Below are 17,094 nucleotides of genomic sequence, written 5' to 3' on the forward strand. Positions count from 1 at the left end.
ATCTCTCATTCCACCCCTGGCCCCATTTTCTGGAATTTTATATGAATGAAATCATGCTGAATGTAATTTTTTCTGCCTGACTTCTTTCACCCAGCATAATTATTTTGGGATTCATCCATATTAGTGAGTGTATCATATTGTTCCTTTTTTAGTGCCAAAGTATTCTTTTGTTTATACATTTTTTTGTTTGTGTGTTTGATATGGGGTCTCACTCTGAGATGGGGTGTCATTCAACCTCTGTCTCACTCGAGGTTGGAGTGCAGGGCGTAATCTTGACTCACTGTAACCTTTGCCTCACATTGATCCTCCCACCTCAGGCTCAATTGATCCTCCCACCTCAGGCTCCCCAGTAGCTGGGACCACAGGCATGTCCCACCACACCCAGCTAATTTTCATATTTTTGGTAGAAGTGGGGTTTCACTATTTTGTCCAGTCTGGTCCGGAACTCCTAAGCTCAGGCAGTCTACTCGCCTTGGCCTCCTAAAGTGCTGGGATTACAGATGTGAGCCACTGCACCCAGCCATTGTTTATACATTTAAAATGCTATTTTGTTTATTCATCTGTTGAAACATATTGAGGTTATTTCCAGTTTTGGGCTATTATGAGTGAAACTAACATCATAATTTGTATGTAAGTATTTGTGTGGTCATATGTCTTTATTTCTCTTGGATAAATACCTGGGAGTAACATACGTGGGTTATATGGTAGGTATATGTTTAACTCTATCAGAAATTACCAAACAGGTTGGGCATTGTGGCTCATGCCTGTAATCCTAGCACTTTGGGAGGCTGAGGCAGAAGGATCGCTTGAGCCTAGGAGTTTGAGACCAGTGTGGGCAACATAGGGAGACCTTGTCTGTACATAAAATAAAGTAAAAAAGCTGGGTATGAAGATTGCATAAGCCTGGGAGATCTGGGCTGCAGTGAGCTGTGGTTGTGCCACTGCACTCCAGCCTGAGTGGCAGAGTGAAACCTTGTCTCAAAAAAAAAAACCAAAGCAAACAAAAAAAAAACAGTTTTAAATTTTAGCTAATCCAGGCCAGGCGTGGTGGCTCACACCTGTAATCCCCGCAACACTTTGGGAGCCTAAGGCAGGTGGATCACCTGAGGTCAGGAGTTCAAGACTAGCCTGGCCAACGTAGTGAAACCCCATCTCTACTAAAAATACAAAATTAGCCGGGTGTGTGGTGGTACATGCCTGTAATCCCAGCTACTCAAGAGGCTGAGGCAGGAGAATCACTTGAACCTGGGAAGTGGAGGTTGTGGTGAGTTGAGATCGCACCATTGCATTCCAGCCTGGGCAACAAGAGTGAAACTCTGTCTCAAAAAATAAAAATAAAAATAAATAAATAAAATAAAATACATTTTAGCCAATCCAATATCATTGTGTGTGTTTTTGTTTTGTTTTGTTTTGTTTTTTTGTTTTTGAGATGGAGTCTTGCTCTGTCCCAGGCTGGAGTGCAGTGGCATGACCTTGGCTCACCACAATCTCCTTGTCGCAGGTTCAAGCGATTCTCCTGTTCAGCCTCCCATGTTGCTGGGACTGCAGGTGCACACCACCACGCCTGGCTAATTTTTGTATTTGTATTTTTAGTAAAGACGAGGTTACACCATGTTGGCCAGGCTGGTCTCAAACTCCTGACCTCAGGTGATCCACCTGCCTCGCCTCCCAAAGTTCTGGGATTACAGGTGTGAGCCACTGCACCCGGCCTGCTCTCTTCTTTTCTTGGTTAATCTTGCTAATAGTCTATCAATTTTATTTAGCTTTTCAAAGAACCAGCTTTTTGTTTCATTTATCTTTTGTATTTTTTTGTTTCAATTTCATTTAGTTCTGCTCTGATCTTAGTTATTTCCTTTCTTCTGCTGGGTTTGGGTTTGGTTTGTTCTTGTTTCTCTAGTTCCTTGAGGTGTGACCTTAGATTGTCTTTTGTGGTCTTTCAGACTTTTTGATGTAGGCATTTAGGGCTATGAACTTTCCTCTTGGCATCACCTTAGCTGTATCCCAGCGGTTTTGATAGGTTGTGTCATTACTGTCATTCGATTAGAAGAATTTTTAATTTCTATCTTGATTTCATTTTTGACTCAATGCTCATTCAGGAGCAGGTTATTTAATTTCCATGTATTTGCATGGTTTTGAAGGTTCCTTTTGGAGTTGATGTCCAGTTTTATTCCACTGTGGTCTGAGAGTGCTTGATATAATTTCAATTTTCTTAAATTTATTGAGGCTCATTTTATGGCCTATCATATGGTCTGTCTTGGAGAAAGTTCCATGTGCTGTTGAATAGGATGTGTATTCTGTGGTTGTTAGATGAAATGTTGTGTATATATCTGTTAAATCCATTTGTTCCAAGGTATAGTTTAAATTCACTGTTTCTTTGTTGACTTTCTGTCTTGATGACCTGTCTATTGCTGTCAGCGGAGTATTGAAGTCCCCACTATTATTGTGTTGCTGTCTGTCTTATTTCTTAGGTTTATTAGTAAATGTTTTATAAATTTGGGAGCTCCATTGTTAGGTGCATATATGTTTAGGACTGTGATATTTTCCTGTTGGACAAGGCCTTTTACCATTATATAATGTCCCTCTTTGTCTCTTTTAACTGCTGTTGCTTTAAAGTTTGTTTCGTCTGATATGAGAGTATCTACCCCAGCTCGCTTTTGGTGTCCATTTGCATGAAATGCCTTTTTCCACCCCTTTATGTGAGTCCTTGTATGTTAGGTGAGTCTACTGAAGACAGCAGATAGTTGGTTGATTAGTTCTTATCCATTCTGCAGTTCTTTATCTTTTAAGTGGAGCATTTAGGCCATTTACATTCAGTGTTAGTATTGAAATGCAAGGTACTGTTGTATTCATCATGCTTTTTGTTGCCTGTGTACTTTGGGTTTTTGTTTGTATGTTTGTTTTTGCTTTTTAACTTGTGTTTTAGTTTTATAGGTCCTGTGTGATTTATGCTTTAAGGAAGTTCTGGGCCAGGCACAGTGGCTCACACCTGTAATCCCAGCATTTTGGGAGGCCAAGGTGGGCGGATCACCTGAGGTCAGGAGTTCAAGACCAGCCTGCCCAACATAGTGAAACCCTGTCTCTACTAAAAACACAAAAATTAGCTGGGCATGGTCGTGGGCACCTGTAGTCCCAGCTACTCGGTAGGCTGAGGCATGAGAATTGCTTGAACCTGGGAGGCAGAGGTTGCAGTGAGCTGAGATCATGCCACTGCACTCCAGCCTGGGCAACAGAGCAAGACTCCATCTCAAAAAAAGGAAATAAAAAAAAAAAAAAGAGGTTCTGTTTTGATGTGTCTCCAGGATTTGTTTCAAGATTTAGAGCTCCATTTAGCAGTTCTTATAGTGGTGGCTTGGTAATGGCAAATTCTCTCAGCATTTGTTTGTCTGAAAATGACTGTATCTTTCCTTCATATATGATTCTTAGTTTCACTGGATACAACATTCTTGGCTGATAATTGTTTTGTTTGAGGAGGCTGAAGATAGGGCCACAATCCTTTCTAGGTTGTAGGGTTTCTGCTGAGAAATCTGCTATTAATTTGATAGGTTTTTCTTTATAGGTTACCTGGTGCTTCTGTCTCACAGCTCTTAAGATTCTTTCCTTTGTCTTAACTTTGGGTAACCTGATGACAGTGTGCTAGGCAAAGGTCTTTTTGCGATGAATTTCCCAGGTGTCCTTTGTGCTTCTTGTATTTGCATGTCTAGGTCTCTAGCAAGGCCGGGGAATTTTTCCTTGATTATCTCCCCAAATACCAAATATGTTTTCTAAGCTTTTAGAATTGTCTTCTTCCTCAGGAACACCGATTATTCTTAGGTTTGGTTGTTTATTGTAATCCCAGACATCCTGGAGGCTTTGTTCATATCTTCTTATTCTTTTTCTTTGTCTTTGTTGGATTGGGTTAATTTGAAGACCTTGTCCTCGAGCTCTGAATTTCTTTCTTCTACTTGTTCAGTTCTATTGCTGAGACTTTCCAGAGCATTTCACATATCTAAAAGTGTGTCCAAAATTTCCTGAATTTTTTATTGTTTTTTCTTTAAGCTATTTATTTATGTGAATATTTCTCCCTTCACTTCTTGTATCATTTTTTTTTTTTTATTTCCTTGCATTGGGCTTCGCCTTTCTCTGGTCCCTCCCTGATTAGCTTAATAGCTAACCTCCTGAATTCTTTTTCAGGTAAACCAGGGATTTCTTCTTGGTTTGGATCAATTGCTGGTGAACTTATGTGATTTTTGGGGGGTGTTGACGAGCCTTCTTTTGTTATATTACCAAAGTTGGTTTTCTGATTCCTTCTTAGCCTCCCAAGTAGCTGGGAATGCAGGTGTGTGCCACCACATCTGGCTAATTTTTGTATTTGTTGGTAGAGACAGTTTCACCATATTGGCCAGGCTGGTTTCAAAGTCCTGGCCTCAAGTGATCCACCTACCTAAGCCTCCCAAAGTGCCAGGGGATAACAGGCGTGAGCCACCGCACCCAGCCAGTGATTTGCTTCACTTTGTAATAAATCTGTATTTGACTCTAAAACAATTCATCTATGTATTCAGGAAAAAAAAAATTTTTTTAAGTTATGATGAATCTTTTTCTAACACAAAATTTTTCTTCTTAGTGGATATTTTGACATATATAGTCTGGAAGATAAGTGGCTTACCTGTAACTCGTGTAATTGGAAGTGGTTGTAATCTAGACTCTGCCCGTTTCCGTTACCTAATTGGAGAAAAGTTGGGTGTCCACCCCACAAGCTGCCATGGTTGGATTATTGGAGAACATGGTGATTCTAGTGGTAAGTATAAATCTATTATTATTACGTGACTACCCTTCTTATCTCTACTAGTGCTTATTTCCTTTAAAGTTTTTTCCCTGATATTAATATAGTTGTATAAGTTTAATTTTTTTGGTATTTCCCTGGTGTAACTTTTACTATTCCTTTAGTTTCAATCTTTTGCATCATTGATTTAGCTATCTTTCATAAAATAGTCCACAAAGCATATAGCTGTTTTAATAGTCAATATGAGTGTTTCTCTTATCTGTAATACTTTTTTATTTATTGTGATTTTTTAAAACAGCTTTATTAAGACATAATTCATGATATGGTTTGGATCTGTGTCCCTGCCCAAATCTCATGTTGAATTGTAATCCCCAGTGTGGGAGCTGGGGCCTGGTGGGAGGTGGTTGGATCATGGAGGCAGGTTGTCATGGTTTAACACCATCTGCCTTAGTACTGTTTTCACAATAGTGAGTTCTTGTGAGATCTGGTTGTTTAAAAGTGTGTGGCACCCCCCTCCCCGACCCCCGCTGTAGCCATATAAGACTCTCCTGCTTCCCCTTAGCCTTCTTCTATGATTGAAAGTTTCCTGAGGCCTCTCAGGAAGCCAAGCAGATGCCAGCATTGTGCTTCCTGTACAGCTTGCAGAATTGTGAGCCAGTTGAACCTCTTTTCTTTGTAAGTTGCCCAGTCTCAGGTATTTCTTTATAGCAATGTGAGAATGGACTAATACAATTCATGTACCATAAAATTCAACCAGCAAATTACAGAATTCATGAGTTTCTGGTATATTCACAGGGTTGTACTAACATCACCACAATCTAAATACAGAATCTTTTCATCAGCCCAAAATGAAATCCGCATCTTTTTCCCCTACCCTAGCCCCAGGCAACCACTAATCTACTTTCTCACTCTGTAGATTTATTTATTCCAGATTTTTCATATAAATGAAATAATATGTGATTTTAACTATTGAGGCCACACCAACCTCTCTCTTTACTGAATTTAAACATTTAGTCTCTGCTACATGGTTAGAACTTTATACTTTTTACAGTGTTCTTTAATTGTGTCATGTATGTAAATCTTCTTTCCATAATGGCAATAAACCAATTGAGAATAAAGACCATTTGTTCAAACATTCATTTATTTATTCAAAATATTTAGAGTGCCCTTTTCTTTATAATCCAAGAGCCATAATATAACAAATACTTTATTTGATTTGGACAAATATTTCTTCAGCCAGAGCCTTACTTTGACCCTGTTGGCTTGTGTTATTTTTCCTGAAGTTCATTAAAACTAATTTTCTCTGGTATATTTTAATTTCTCACATTTAATATTCTATAACTTTATTTTTAGAAAACAGTATATTCTGATTAGTATTAATTTGAACATGTTTAGTATTCTATTTAGCATGATTTTTCGGTTTCCTTCCTCTTTTTCTGTTTTCCATTGGATCTACTTTCTTTAATTTCCTCTAATACTTTGAATTATACACTTACCTTATAAATGGTTATCTATAAATTTTTAACATTCATACTTGACCTCAGATGATAAATTTATTTACTCTCCTTTGGGATAATACAAAGTTTTTTTTTTTTTTTTTTTTTTGAGACAGAGTTTCGCTCTTGTTGCCCAGGCTGGAGTGCAATGGTGTGATCTCGGCTCACCGCAACCTCCGCCTCCTGGGTTCAAGCGATTCTCCTGCCTCAGCCTCCTGAGTAGCTGGGATTACGGGCATGCACCACCACACCCGACTAATTTTGTATTTTTAGTAGAGACAGGGTTTCTCCATGTTGGTCAGGCTGGTCTCGAACTCTTGACGTCAGGTGATCCACCCGCCACAGCCTTCCAAAGTGCTGGGATTATAGGCATGAGCCACTGCACCCGGCCGGGATAATACAAAGATCTTAGAATGCTTTTAGTTTGATCATCCCCTTTTTTTGATGTTGACACCATCCTCTTTCTGTCATACATGTAATTATTAATTCCTTTTCTGTATCCATACTGTTCTTATATCCCCCAAACTAGTTATAATTATTATTATTTGAATAGTTAATACTTGTTCAGATTTATTTACAGGTTGGCCAGTTGTGTTGCTTATCTTTATTTTCTCCATCTAATTTCTTCCCCTGGATTCAATTTATTTCTTCCTGAACTCTATCCTGTTGGTGTTGTTTATATGACTGTTTTAGTCTCATCTTATTCTGGAATGACAGGTTAATTGGATGTGAGATTCTAGATTGACAGTTATTCCTCCTTGGCTCTTGTTTACTATTGAGAAGTATGGTATTAATTTGACATTCTTTTCCCTCTCATTGCTTATATTTTATCTTTCTTATCAGTCTTTTTCTTTGTTTATACTGCATTTTGCATATTGCTTAAAAATATGTATGTTGCTTAAAAATGCCTCCTATACCACACAATTATAAATAAATTCTACTACATATTTTCTAACAACCTTATAATTTTATTTCTTACATTTCCCTCTTTTATACATTTGAAACCTATTTTTATGTATGGTGTAAGGTGGTGTTTTAGGCCATTTTTGTGTTGCTGTAAAGAAATACCTGGCCAGGGCCGGGCACGGTGGCTCACGCCTATAATCCCAGCACTTTGGGAGGCTGAGGTGGACGGATCACGAGGTCAGGAGATTGAGACCATCCTGGCTAACACAGTGAAAACCCGTCTCTACTAAAAATACAAAAAATTAGCCAGGCGTGGTGGTGGGCACCTGTAGTCCCAGTGACTCGGGAGGCTGAGGCGGGAGAATGGCGTGAACCCGGGAGGTGGAGCTTGCAGTGAGCCGAGATCGCGCCACTGCACTCTAGCCTGGGCGACAGAGCAAGACTCCCTCTCAAAAAAAAAAAAAAAAGAAAAAGAAATACCTGGCCAGGAGTAGTGGCTCATGCCTGTAATCCCAGCACTTTTGGAGGCCAACGCGTGTGGATCACTTGAGGCCAGGAGTTTAAGACCAGCCTGGCCAACATAGCGAAACCCCATCTCTACTAAAAATACAAAAAAAAGCTGGGTGTGGTGGCACACACCTGTAATCCCAGCTGCTCGGGAGGCTGAAACAGAAGAATCCCTTGAACTTGGGAGGTGGAGGTTGCAGTGAGCTGAGATCAAGCCACTATGCTACAGCCTGAGTGAAAAAGAAAAAAAAAACAAAAGAAATACCTGAGGCTGAGTAATTTATAAAGAAAAGGGGTTTAATTTAGCTTGTGCTTCTGCAGGTTGTACAGGCATGGCTCCAAGATATGCTCTTGATGAGGACCTCAGGAAGCTTGCAATCATGGCAGAAGGCAAAGGAGGAGTAGATGTGTCACATAGTGAGGGCAGAAACGAGAGAGAGGAGGTGCCATATACTTTTAAACAACCAGATCTCACATGAACTTAGAGTGAAGACTCACTCTTCAACAGGAGATGATGCTAAGCTATTCATGAGGGATCTGCACCCATGATCAGACACTTCCCACCCCCAACACTAGCGGTTACATTTCAACATGAGATTTGGAGGAGACAAACATCTGAACCATATCAGGTGGCAACTTAACTTAAAAAAACAACACTGAACTCAAACTCCTGATGCCATATTGGGAAGAAGAGTTTATTTTGAGATCTGTATTTTTTAGTGCCCTTATGGAGTGGGGTGAATGTTGCTGGTGTTGCTCTGAAGACTCTGGACCCTAAATTAGGAACGGATTCAGATAAGGAACACTGGAAAAATATCCATAAACAAGTTATTCAAAGGTAATAGTACCTATTCAGTTTCTTAATGCCTTAATAGTCAGTCTTAAGAATAAATATCACGGACAAAAATCAAGTAGTTGATCCTTGCTTTTTGTGAGATAAATAACTCTAGGCTCCTGAAAACCACTAAATTCAGACTTATACATAGCTTTCTTTTTGGGGGCATTTTTCAAAAAGAAAAAGTACTTATTATTTCACAACTCATATATTTGAGAGTAATAAAAGCATAGTGATTATGAGCATGGACTTTGGACCCAGGTTGTCCAGGTTTGAAACCTGCTTCATCATTTATTAGTGATATGATATTGGGAAATTACTTAAAATATCAGAAGTTGTTTACTTATCTTCGAAATGGGGATAATTATAGAACCTACTTTACATAATAGCCTTATGGAGAGTAAATAAGTTAATACTACATGTAAAATGCTAGAACCATGCCAAGAACTTATTAAATGTTCATCATTTGAGTAGATGAAACATTAAGCTAATGCAGATGATCAGAAATCAATATGGTTTTCTTATAAATGAAGCATCTGACTCCATATATATTAGCCTTAACAGCACACAGGATTATTCTTCATGGTTTAGTCAAGAGTCAAGTTACATATTAGTAGAAGTTATAGAACTTAAAAATTGGCTGGGCGGGGTGGCTCACGCCTGTAATTCCAGCGCTTTGGGAGGCCAAGGCGGGTGGATCACCTGAGGTCAGCAGTTCGAGACCAGCCTGAACAACATGGTAAAACCCCATCTCTTCTAAAAATACAAAAATTAGCTCGGTGTGGTGATGGGCGCCTGTAATCCCAGGTACTTGGGAGGCTGAGGCAGGAGAATCACTGGAACCCAGGAGGCAGAGGTTGCAGTGAGCCAAGACAGCGCCATTGCACTCCAGCCTGGGCAACAAGAGTGAAACTCCATCTCAAAAAAAAAAAAAAAAAAAAAGAACTTAAAAATCACTTTTGGATATTCACAGCTTGGAATATTGAACTTAACAAAAACCACAAGTCTACTGTATGTATACTTAAAACAACCCTACAAAAATGTGTAAGAGGCCAGGCATGGTGGCTCACGCCTATAATCCCAATACTTTGGGAGGCCAAGGTGGGCAGATCACCTGAGGTCAGGAGTTCGAGACCAGCCTGGCCAACATGGTGAAAACCGTCTCTACTAAAAAAAAAAAAAAAAAAAAAAAAACAAAAATTAGCCAGCTGTGGTTGTGCGTGCCTGTAATCCCAGCTACTTGGGAGGCTGAGGCACAAGAATTGCTTGAACCTAGGAGGCAGAGGTTGCAGTGAGCCAATATTGTGCCAGTGCAATCCAGCCTGGGCAACAGAGCAAGACTCTGTCTCAGAAAAAAGATAAATAAATAAAATAATAGGCTGGGCGCAGTGGCTTATGCCTGTAATCCCAGCATTTTGGAAGGCCTAGGTGGGCTGATCATGAGGTCAGGAGATCAAGACCATCCTGGCCAATATGGTGAAACTCCGTCTCTACTAAAATACAAAAAAAAAAAAAAAAAAAATTAGCCGGGTGTGGTGGTGTGCCCCTGTAATCCCAGCTACTCAGGAGGCTGCGGCAGGAGAATCGCCTGAACCTGGGAGGCGGAGGTTGCAGTGAGCCAAGATCACACCAGTGCACTCCAGCCTGGCAACAGAGCAAGACTCTGTTTCAAAGAAAACAAACAAATAAATAAATAAAATAAAATAATAAAACAAAAATGTGTAAGAATTAGGGCAGAGACTAAAAAGTCATAATATAACAAGTGATCATGGGTGAGTTTTTATTCTCTTAAATGCCTTTTAGTTTTAAAAGTTTATATTATTTTATTTTTGGTTATAAAAAGTAACATGGCAATGTGTATGAGTACAGAGCTACAGTTTGGGAAGATGAAAACATTTGAGAGAGGATAGTAGTAATGACTGCACAGCAGTGTTAATGCACTTAATGCCACTGAACTGTAATTGTTAAGATGATAAATTTTACCGTAGTTAAAAAAGCAGTTAAGGCTGGGTGCAGTGGCTCACATCTGTAATCCCAACCCTTTGGGAGGCTGAGGTAGGAGGATTGTTTGAGGCCAGGAGTTTCAGATCAGCTGGGGCAACAGAGTGAGATCATGTCTCCACAAAAAATTTTAAAAAATTAGCCAGGCATGGTGGTATGTCTGTAGTCCCAGCTACTGGGGTGGTTGAGGCAGGAAGATCACTTGAGCCCAGGCGTTTTAGGCTCAACTCAAACTCGCAGAGGTATGATCACACCACTGCACACTAGCCTGGACAGCAGAGAAAAATCCTGTCTCTAAAAAAATAAATAAATAAAATAAAATAAATTAAAAAATTAACTAGTTGTAGTGTTGCATACCTGTAGTCTTAGCTACCTGGGAGATTGAGATGGGAGGATTACTTGAGCCCAGGAATGCAAGATTGCAATGAACAACGATAGTCCACTGCATTCCAACCTGGGCAACAGAGTGAGACCTCATCTCTTAAAAAAAAAACAAAAAACAACAACAACAATATTAAAAGTATATAGCCACGAATTGTTGTCTGAAATTCAGACTGTCCGACTCACAGGACATAATAGGTTTTCACCTAGCATTAAGTTTATCTAGCATGGTGAAAGGATACCAGGAAGAAAACACAGTATAGCATATCAGTATCTTCTTTAGAAGGTATTTCTTTTCTTTTTTTTTTATTTGAGATGGGGTCTTGCTTTGTCGCCAGGCTGGAGTGCAGTGGTGTGGTCTCTGCACTCCGCCTCCCGGGTTCAAGCAATTCTCCTGCCTCAGCCTCCTGAGTAGCTGGGACTACAAGCACGCGCCACCATGCTCAGCTAATTTTTGTATTTTTAGTAGAAACGGGGTTTCACCATGTTGGCCAGGAGTCTTAATCTCTTGACCTCATGATCTGCCCACCTTGGCCTCCCAAAGTGCTGGGATTACAGGCATGAGCCACCACACCCGGCCCTTTAGAAGATATTTCAATGCGGCTGGGCGTGGTGGCTCATGCCTGTAATCCCAGCACTTTGGGAGGCTGAGGCGGTTAGATCACTTCTTAAGGTCAGGAGTTCAAGACCAGCCTGGCCCAACATGGTGAAACCCTGTCTCTACTAAAAATACAAAAATTAGCTGGGCTTGGTGGCGGGCGCCTGTAATCCCAGCTATTTGGGAGGCTGAGGCATCACTTGAACCCAGGAGGTGGAGGTTGCTGTGAGTTGAGGTTACGCCACTGCACTCCAGCATGGGCGACAGAGGGAGACTCCGTCTAAAAACAAAACAAAACAAAACAACAGTATTGCAATGCTTAGGTGTAGCTTCTAGGCCCTATCACTGCTTGGGGCACACTCAGTTACACAGAAGGAAGCTGACATGGGGGCAGACTTCCCCAGCACAGGAAAGCGGCTGCCTTTAGTTCTCAACAGTTTTGTTTTTTGTTTTTTTTTAACTGCAAAAGTGGGAAATTCTCAACAGTTCTTAATGCACTTCCTGTCACATAGCCCTCAGGGTCTGCATACTTGATCCCAGTACTGCTAGTCCTGATACAATGCACAAATCAATGGTTTCATAAAATCCAGTGCTGATAACCTAGTTCTATGATAGTTAATAGTCCACATTTATCTTAACTAATTTTTATATCTAGAAAACTATGTTGCCTGAACTCAAACTCAAGGTTATCTTCCCAGTTACTTCTGGCTTTTTCGAAAGGGCTCAAATCCACTGTTAACCCTTTACCCTTGGTACCTTTCCATGACCTCAGATTATTATCTTTGTATCATATATTCTTCAGAGTTCATTTGACAAACATTTCTTCAATATTTTATAAATAGAAAAGACAAGTTAGTACATCTACAACCACTAGACTCTATAAGACACAGTAGGTAAACAGAATCCTTCACAATGTTTTGGTAATTCTTAACCAACTAGACTGTTTTTTTCCCCCCTCTATCATTTACTATCACTTGCGTCTTATTAAAGGTATTGATACACGCATTCAATCACATGTTTTATCTCTTTCTCTCTCTCTTTTTTTTTTTTTTTTTTTTGAGACAGAGTCTTGCTCTGTTGCCCAGGCTGGAGTGCAGTGGGGCAATTTTGGCTCACTGCAACCTCCGCCTCCTGGGTTCAAGCGATTCTCATGCCTCGGCCTCTTGAGTAGCTGGGACTACAGGAGTGTACCACCACACCTGGCTAGTTTTTATATTTTTAGTACAGATGGGGTTTCACCATGTTGGTCAAACTGGTCTCCAACTCCTGACCTCAGGTGATCTGCCCGCCTCAGCCTCCTGAAGCCACCACGCAGTTTTTATATTTCTAAAGCAAATGTATTTCTTTTTTTGGCCAAACTATTTCCATAAGTATCACATCAATTGAAAGTTTTAGGTCAATTTACCAAAATATCTTTTACTTTGAAAATCATTATTGGTATGTTTTATTTTCTTAAATTCTCTTAAGGGAACCTACAAATGCTTTGTTTCACCAAAAAGCTTTGAATGAGAGGTTAAATTAATCCCTAGAAAACACAATATGTATTAATATTACAGTATCTTTTCCTGTCCTTCTCAACAAAACTGTCCCTTATGCCCATATATTTTCAGCTATAGGGGCCAGGAGACCAGTCTCCAATAAATGCAGGGATCTAACTGGTCTGGAGGCACATCCATACCCCCCACCCACTAAGGAACTTGTTTTAACCGATAGCGGTTTCCAAGTGTTATGGAGCAGCCCATCTACCTCCCATAGGGCTGTCACAGTGTTGGTCTTTATCTACCCAGTCACTAATAATTGTACCACAGAGAATGGTAGTTCTTTCTTTTCTTTCTTTCTTTTTTTTTTTTTTTTTGAGACACAGTCTGGCTCTGTCATCCAGGCTGGAGTGTAGTGGCATGATCTTGGCTTACTGCAACCTCTGACTCCCAGGCTCAAGCCATCCTCACACCTCAGCCTCCTGAGTAGCTAGGAATACAGGTGCATGCCACCATGCCTGGCCACTTTTTGTATTTTTGGTAGTGATGGGGTTTCACCATGTTGCCCAGGCTGGTCTCAAACTCCTGAGCTAAAGCAATCTGCCCACCTTGGCCTCCCAAAGTGTTGGGATTACAGGTGTGAGCCACTGTACTCGGGCAGTTCCTTTTTAATTTGAGACACTTGCTTTAAGGGAACAAGGATTAAGATCACATTTCCCATTGAAGTCCTGTGTGATTTGAATACCAAATATTCCAATGTGTTTCAGATCAGTACTTATCACTATTGGTCCTCTCAACTCTGCAGTATCTAAAATTAAATTATTTGCCTCTTGATCATTTAGCAGAGGATCTATAATTATAAATAATCCTCAGGGTGCTGCTAATATTTATCTAAAAACTACTCAGCTCTTTTTACACAACAGCTTCTGATTTGCTGTTGTCTAACCACCAATTGCAGAGGAATGACATCATGATTTAATAGGATGTCCTTACTTGTTCCCAAGAGGGCATTTGGTTTACAATGTGTATCAGTTTTTGTCTTAAAGTACCATCCTTGAAACTATTTCTTCTATTTGCTCCCTTTACCCTTTCTTTTACACCAGCAATTTTATTTTCATCAGGATGGTTAATAACAACTAAAGGATTATGTTTTTAGCTATTCTCAACTTTCTTCTGTTTCTCAATCTATTTTATTAATACCTGAGAGGATAAATCTGTCATCCAGATTCAACTGGTGAGATTTGTCCCCAGTAATCTACTGTAGAGCTTTCTTTTCTTCAACTCATAGACAGTATGCTGTCAATCAAGTGCCAGGCAGACCCTCTTTCCCTTTCCTTTTACTTACCCCCGGAGTCTTGGCCGTACAGAATTGAGGGTCTAAAAGTACTTTTGTCATCAAAAGTATTGCATGGCCTCTGATAGTGGCCCTGATTTTGGACTGATAGTCAAATCATAGGACACTACTGTAGGAACAGTCCAGGCCCAACCTGCTGTGTTCAGGTGGTATATATATATATATATATATATATATATATATATATATATATATGCCTTATCTTGGCAACCAAGTGTGTTATGTGCATTCTTGGGGCTTTAAAACGGGGTAGTTGTAAGACCTCCTGATATGAATGATATATGCTGGACAGTCTTTGCTTCTTGTCCTGTATCCTTTCTAAAAGTTAAATAAACTTAGTGCTAAATTAAACCCTCTTTGTCCAGTGAAGTTGACTGTCAATCCAAACCTGAGACCACTATTTGTAGCAATGCAAATATATAATAAATATTAATTGTAGGAAATAAGGAAATTCAGACAGGCATAAAGAAGACTCACCTGTAAGCCTGTCTTGTAAAAATAATCACTATTAATAACTTGGTAGGTTGATGCAGCTCTAAAGTTTGTATAAAAATTTATATTTTTTACAAGCCAGAGATAAGAAAATGCATAATGTTTAGTATTGTGCTATTTTCCTTTGAAAATGTATCATGAATATTTTCCATATTCATTTATTATTGATTTAGTGATATATTCTTAGGAAAGATATATACACACAGCTTACAACTGTATAAATTTACATTGGCAAGCTAGTAACAATTTTTTTTTTTTTTGAGACGGAGTCTCACTCTGTCACCCAGGCTGGAGTGCAATGGTATAGTCTAGGCTCACTGCAACCTCTGCCCACCAGGTTCAAGTGATTCTCCTACCTCAGCCTCTCCAGTAGCTGGGACTACAGGCATATACCACCACACCTGGCTAAGTTTTGTATTTTTAGTAGAGATGGGGTTTCGCTGTGTTGGCCAGTGTTGGCCAGGCTGGTCTCGAACTTCTGACCTCGTGATCCACCCACCTCGGCCTCCCAAAGTTCTGGGATTACAGATGTGAGCCATTGCCCCTGGCCACTAGTAACAATTTTAAATGGTCCAAGAGATTTATATGGTAACTTTCAAGGTGATTAGTTTCTATGTTGCATATTTAAGCAACAATACAAAAAATATTAAAAGCTAGTTTCATCTTGAGTGGCACATTTGTCCTAGTATTCTGCCTTTATGATTTAAAAAAAGGGTAAATTAATTTTTACTTAAAAAAAGTAGGCTGGGCACGGTGGCTCACACCTATAATACCAGCACTCCAGGAAACTGAGGCGAGCAGATCGCTTGAGCTCAGAAGTTTGAAACCAGCCTGGGCAACATGGCGAAACCCTGTATCTACAAAGAACACAAAAATTAGCCAGGCATGGTGGCTCATGCCTGTACTGTCAAGTAGCTACTTGGGAAGCTGAGGAGGGAGGATCGCATAAGCCCAGGAGGTGGAGGTTGCAGTGAGCCATGATCACACACAACTGCCCTCCGGCCTGGGCAAGGAAGCAAGACCCTGTCTCAAAAAATAATAATAATAATCAATAAAAAAGTAATAAAGTATGTAGTGAAGTTTTATTAGACCAGTATAGAAAGTTTTGTTGCCTGTTTATAAATTCTGTAAGAAATCTATGGGAAAATTCTAATACAATTGCATTGACATGTAGATAACTTTAAAATGGATGCTTGAAGAATATTATGTTTTCTCTGGGTTGACTTATTATGAATTTGATTTTCTTACTTTCTACAACTGTAGTGCCTATGAAATTATCAAGCTGAAGGGGTATACCTCTTGGGCTATTGGACTGTCTGTGATGGATTTGGTAGGATCCATTTTGAAAAATCTTAGGAGAGTGCACCCAGTTTCCACCATGGTTAAGGTAGGCTTAAATTAAATCTTCATTTATCATTCTTTCCTTTAATATTTATTGGGTCACTACTATATGCCAGGCAGTGTACAAGATGTTGAGGATATAATAGTGAATAAAAAATACAAAGACCTTGACCTCAGGTCAGGTCAAAAAAATACAGATACCTTGACCTAAGGAAGGGAATCCTGAAAGAGAACCAGGTTTGAAGATCACATTTACAGTTTTGGACACAGTTTTGAGCCCTGGCATATAAACAGTGTGAAGCCAACTCAAACTAGCTTATGCAAAAAGAAAATTTATTGGCTTATGTAACTGAAATGCCAAGGAGGCCTGATTCTGGTACTCAGACAATATTATGAGAGCTGTCTTTTCTCTCCATTCTCTTGGCTCATCTTTTTCCTCTATTGGCTTCCAACTCATGCAGACTTTTTCCATGGGGCAACAAAGATGGGTCACAGTAGCTGCAGGCTTAGATCCTATAATACCTCTGGCTGAGAACCACTTGCGTAGACTGAGGAAATTAAGACAAGTGTAATAGCTATTTTTAGGAATTTGGTTGTGAAGGTAAGGAAAATCAGGGCAAGAAGTTTGTTTGTTTGTTTGTTACACAGATAAGATGCTTATAGTAAAGATCAAGTACCAAGGGAGAGGATGAAGACAGAAGTGGTAAGCAGAGGGGGATGCAGTCCAGAGCATAGTTGTAGGCATTACCCCTAAAAGGAGGAGGGGCAGGAGTTAACAAAAAGAGAATGTGTACTGATGCATGTAGATTTGTATATTTGACATTGGAAGCATCTGATGACTTCTCTATTTTTTTTTTTTTTTTTGAGACGGAGTCTCACTCTGTCACCCAGGCTGGAGTGCAGTCATGCGATCTTGGCTCACTGCAAGCTCCACCTCCCAGGTTCA

The 17,094-nt window shown here is 39.8% G+C and overlaps 1 protein-coding gene across 3 annotated transcripts in view; it reads left to right on the forward strand.

Moving 5' to 3' along the window:
- The window catches only part of LDHC (lactate dehydrogenase C), a 39,746-nt gene that overhangs the window by 17,822 nt on the left and 4,830 nt on the right, over window positions 1–17,094 (forward strand). For all 3 annotated transcript variants that reach the window (NM_002301.5, NM_017448.5, XM_047426934.1), the window contains 3 exons: window positions 4,601–4,774; window positions 8,389–8,506; window positions 16,071–16,194. In NM_002301.5, coding sequence (NP_002292.1) covers window positions 4,601–4,774; window positions 8,389–8,506; window positions 16,071–16,194 — 416 coding nt within the window. The remainder of the gene's footprint in view (window positions 1–4,600; window positions 4,775–8,388; window positions 8,507–16,070; window positions 16,195–17,094) is intronic.

Source organism: Homo sapiens, chromosome 11, assembly GCF_000001405.40.
Source record: "Homo sapiens chromosome 11, GRCh38.p14 Primary Assembly".
NCBI classification, from domain to species: domain Eukaryota; kingdom Metazoa; phylum Chordata; class Mammalia; order Primates; family Hominidae; genus Homo; species Homo sapiens.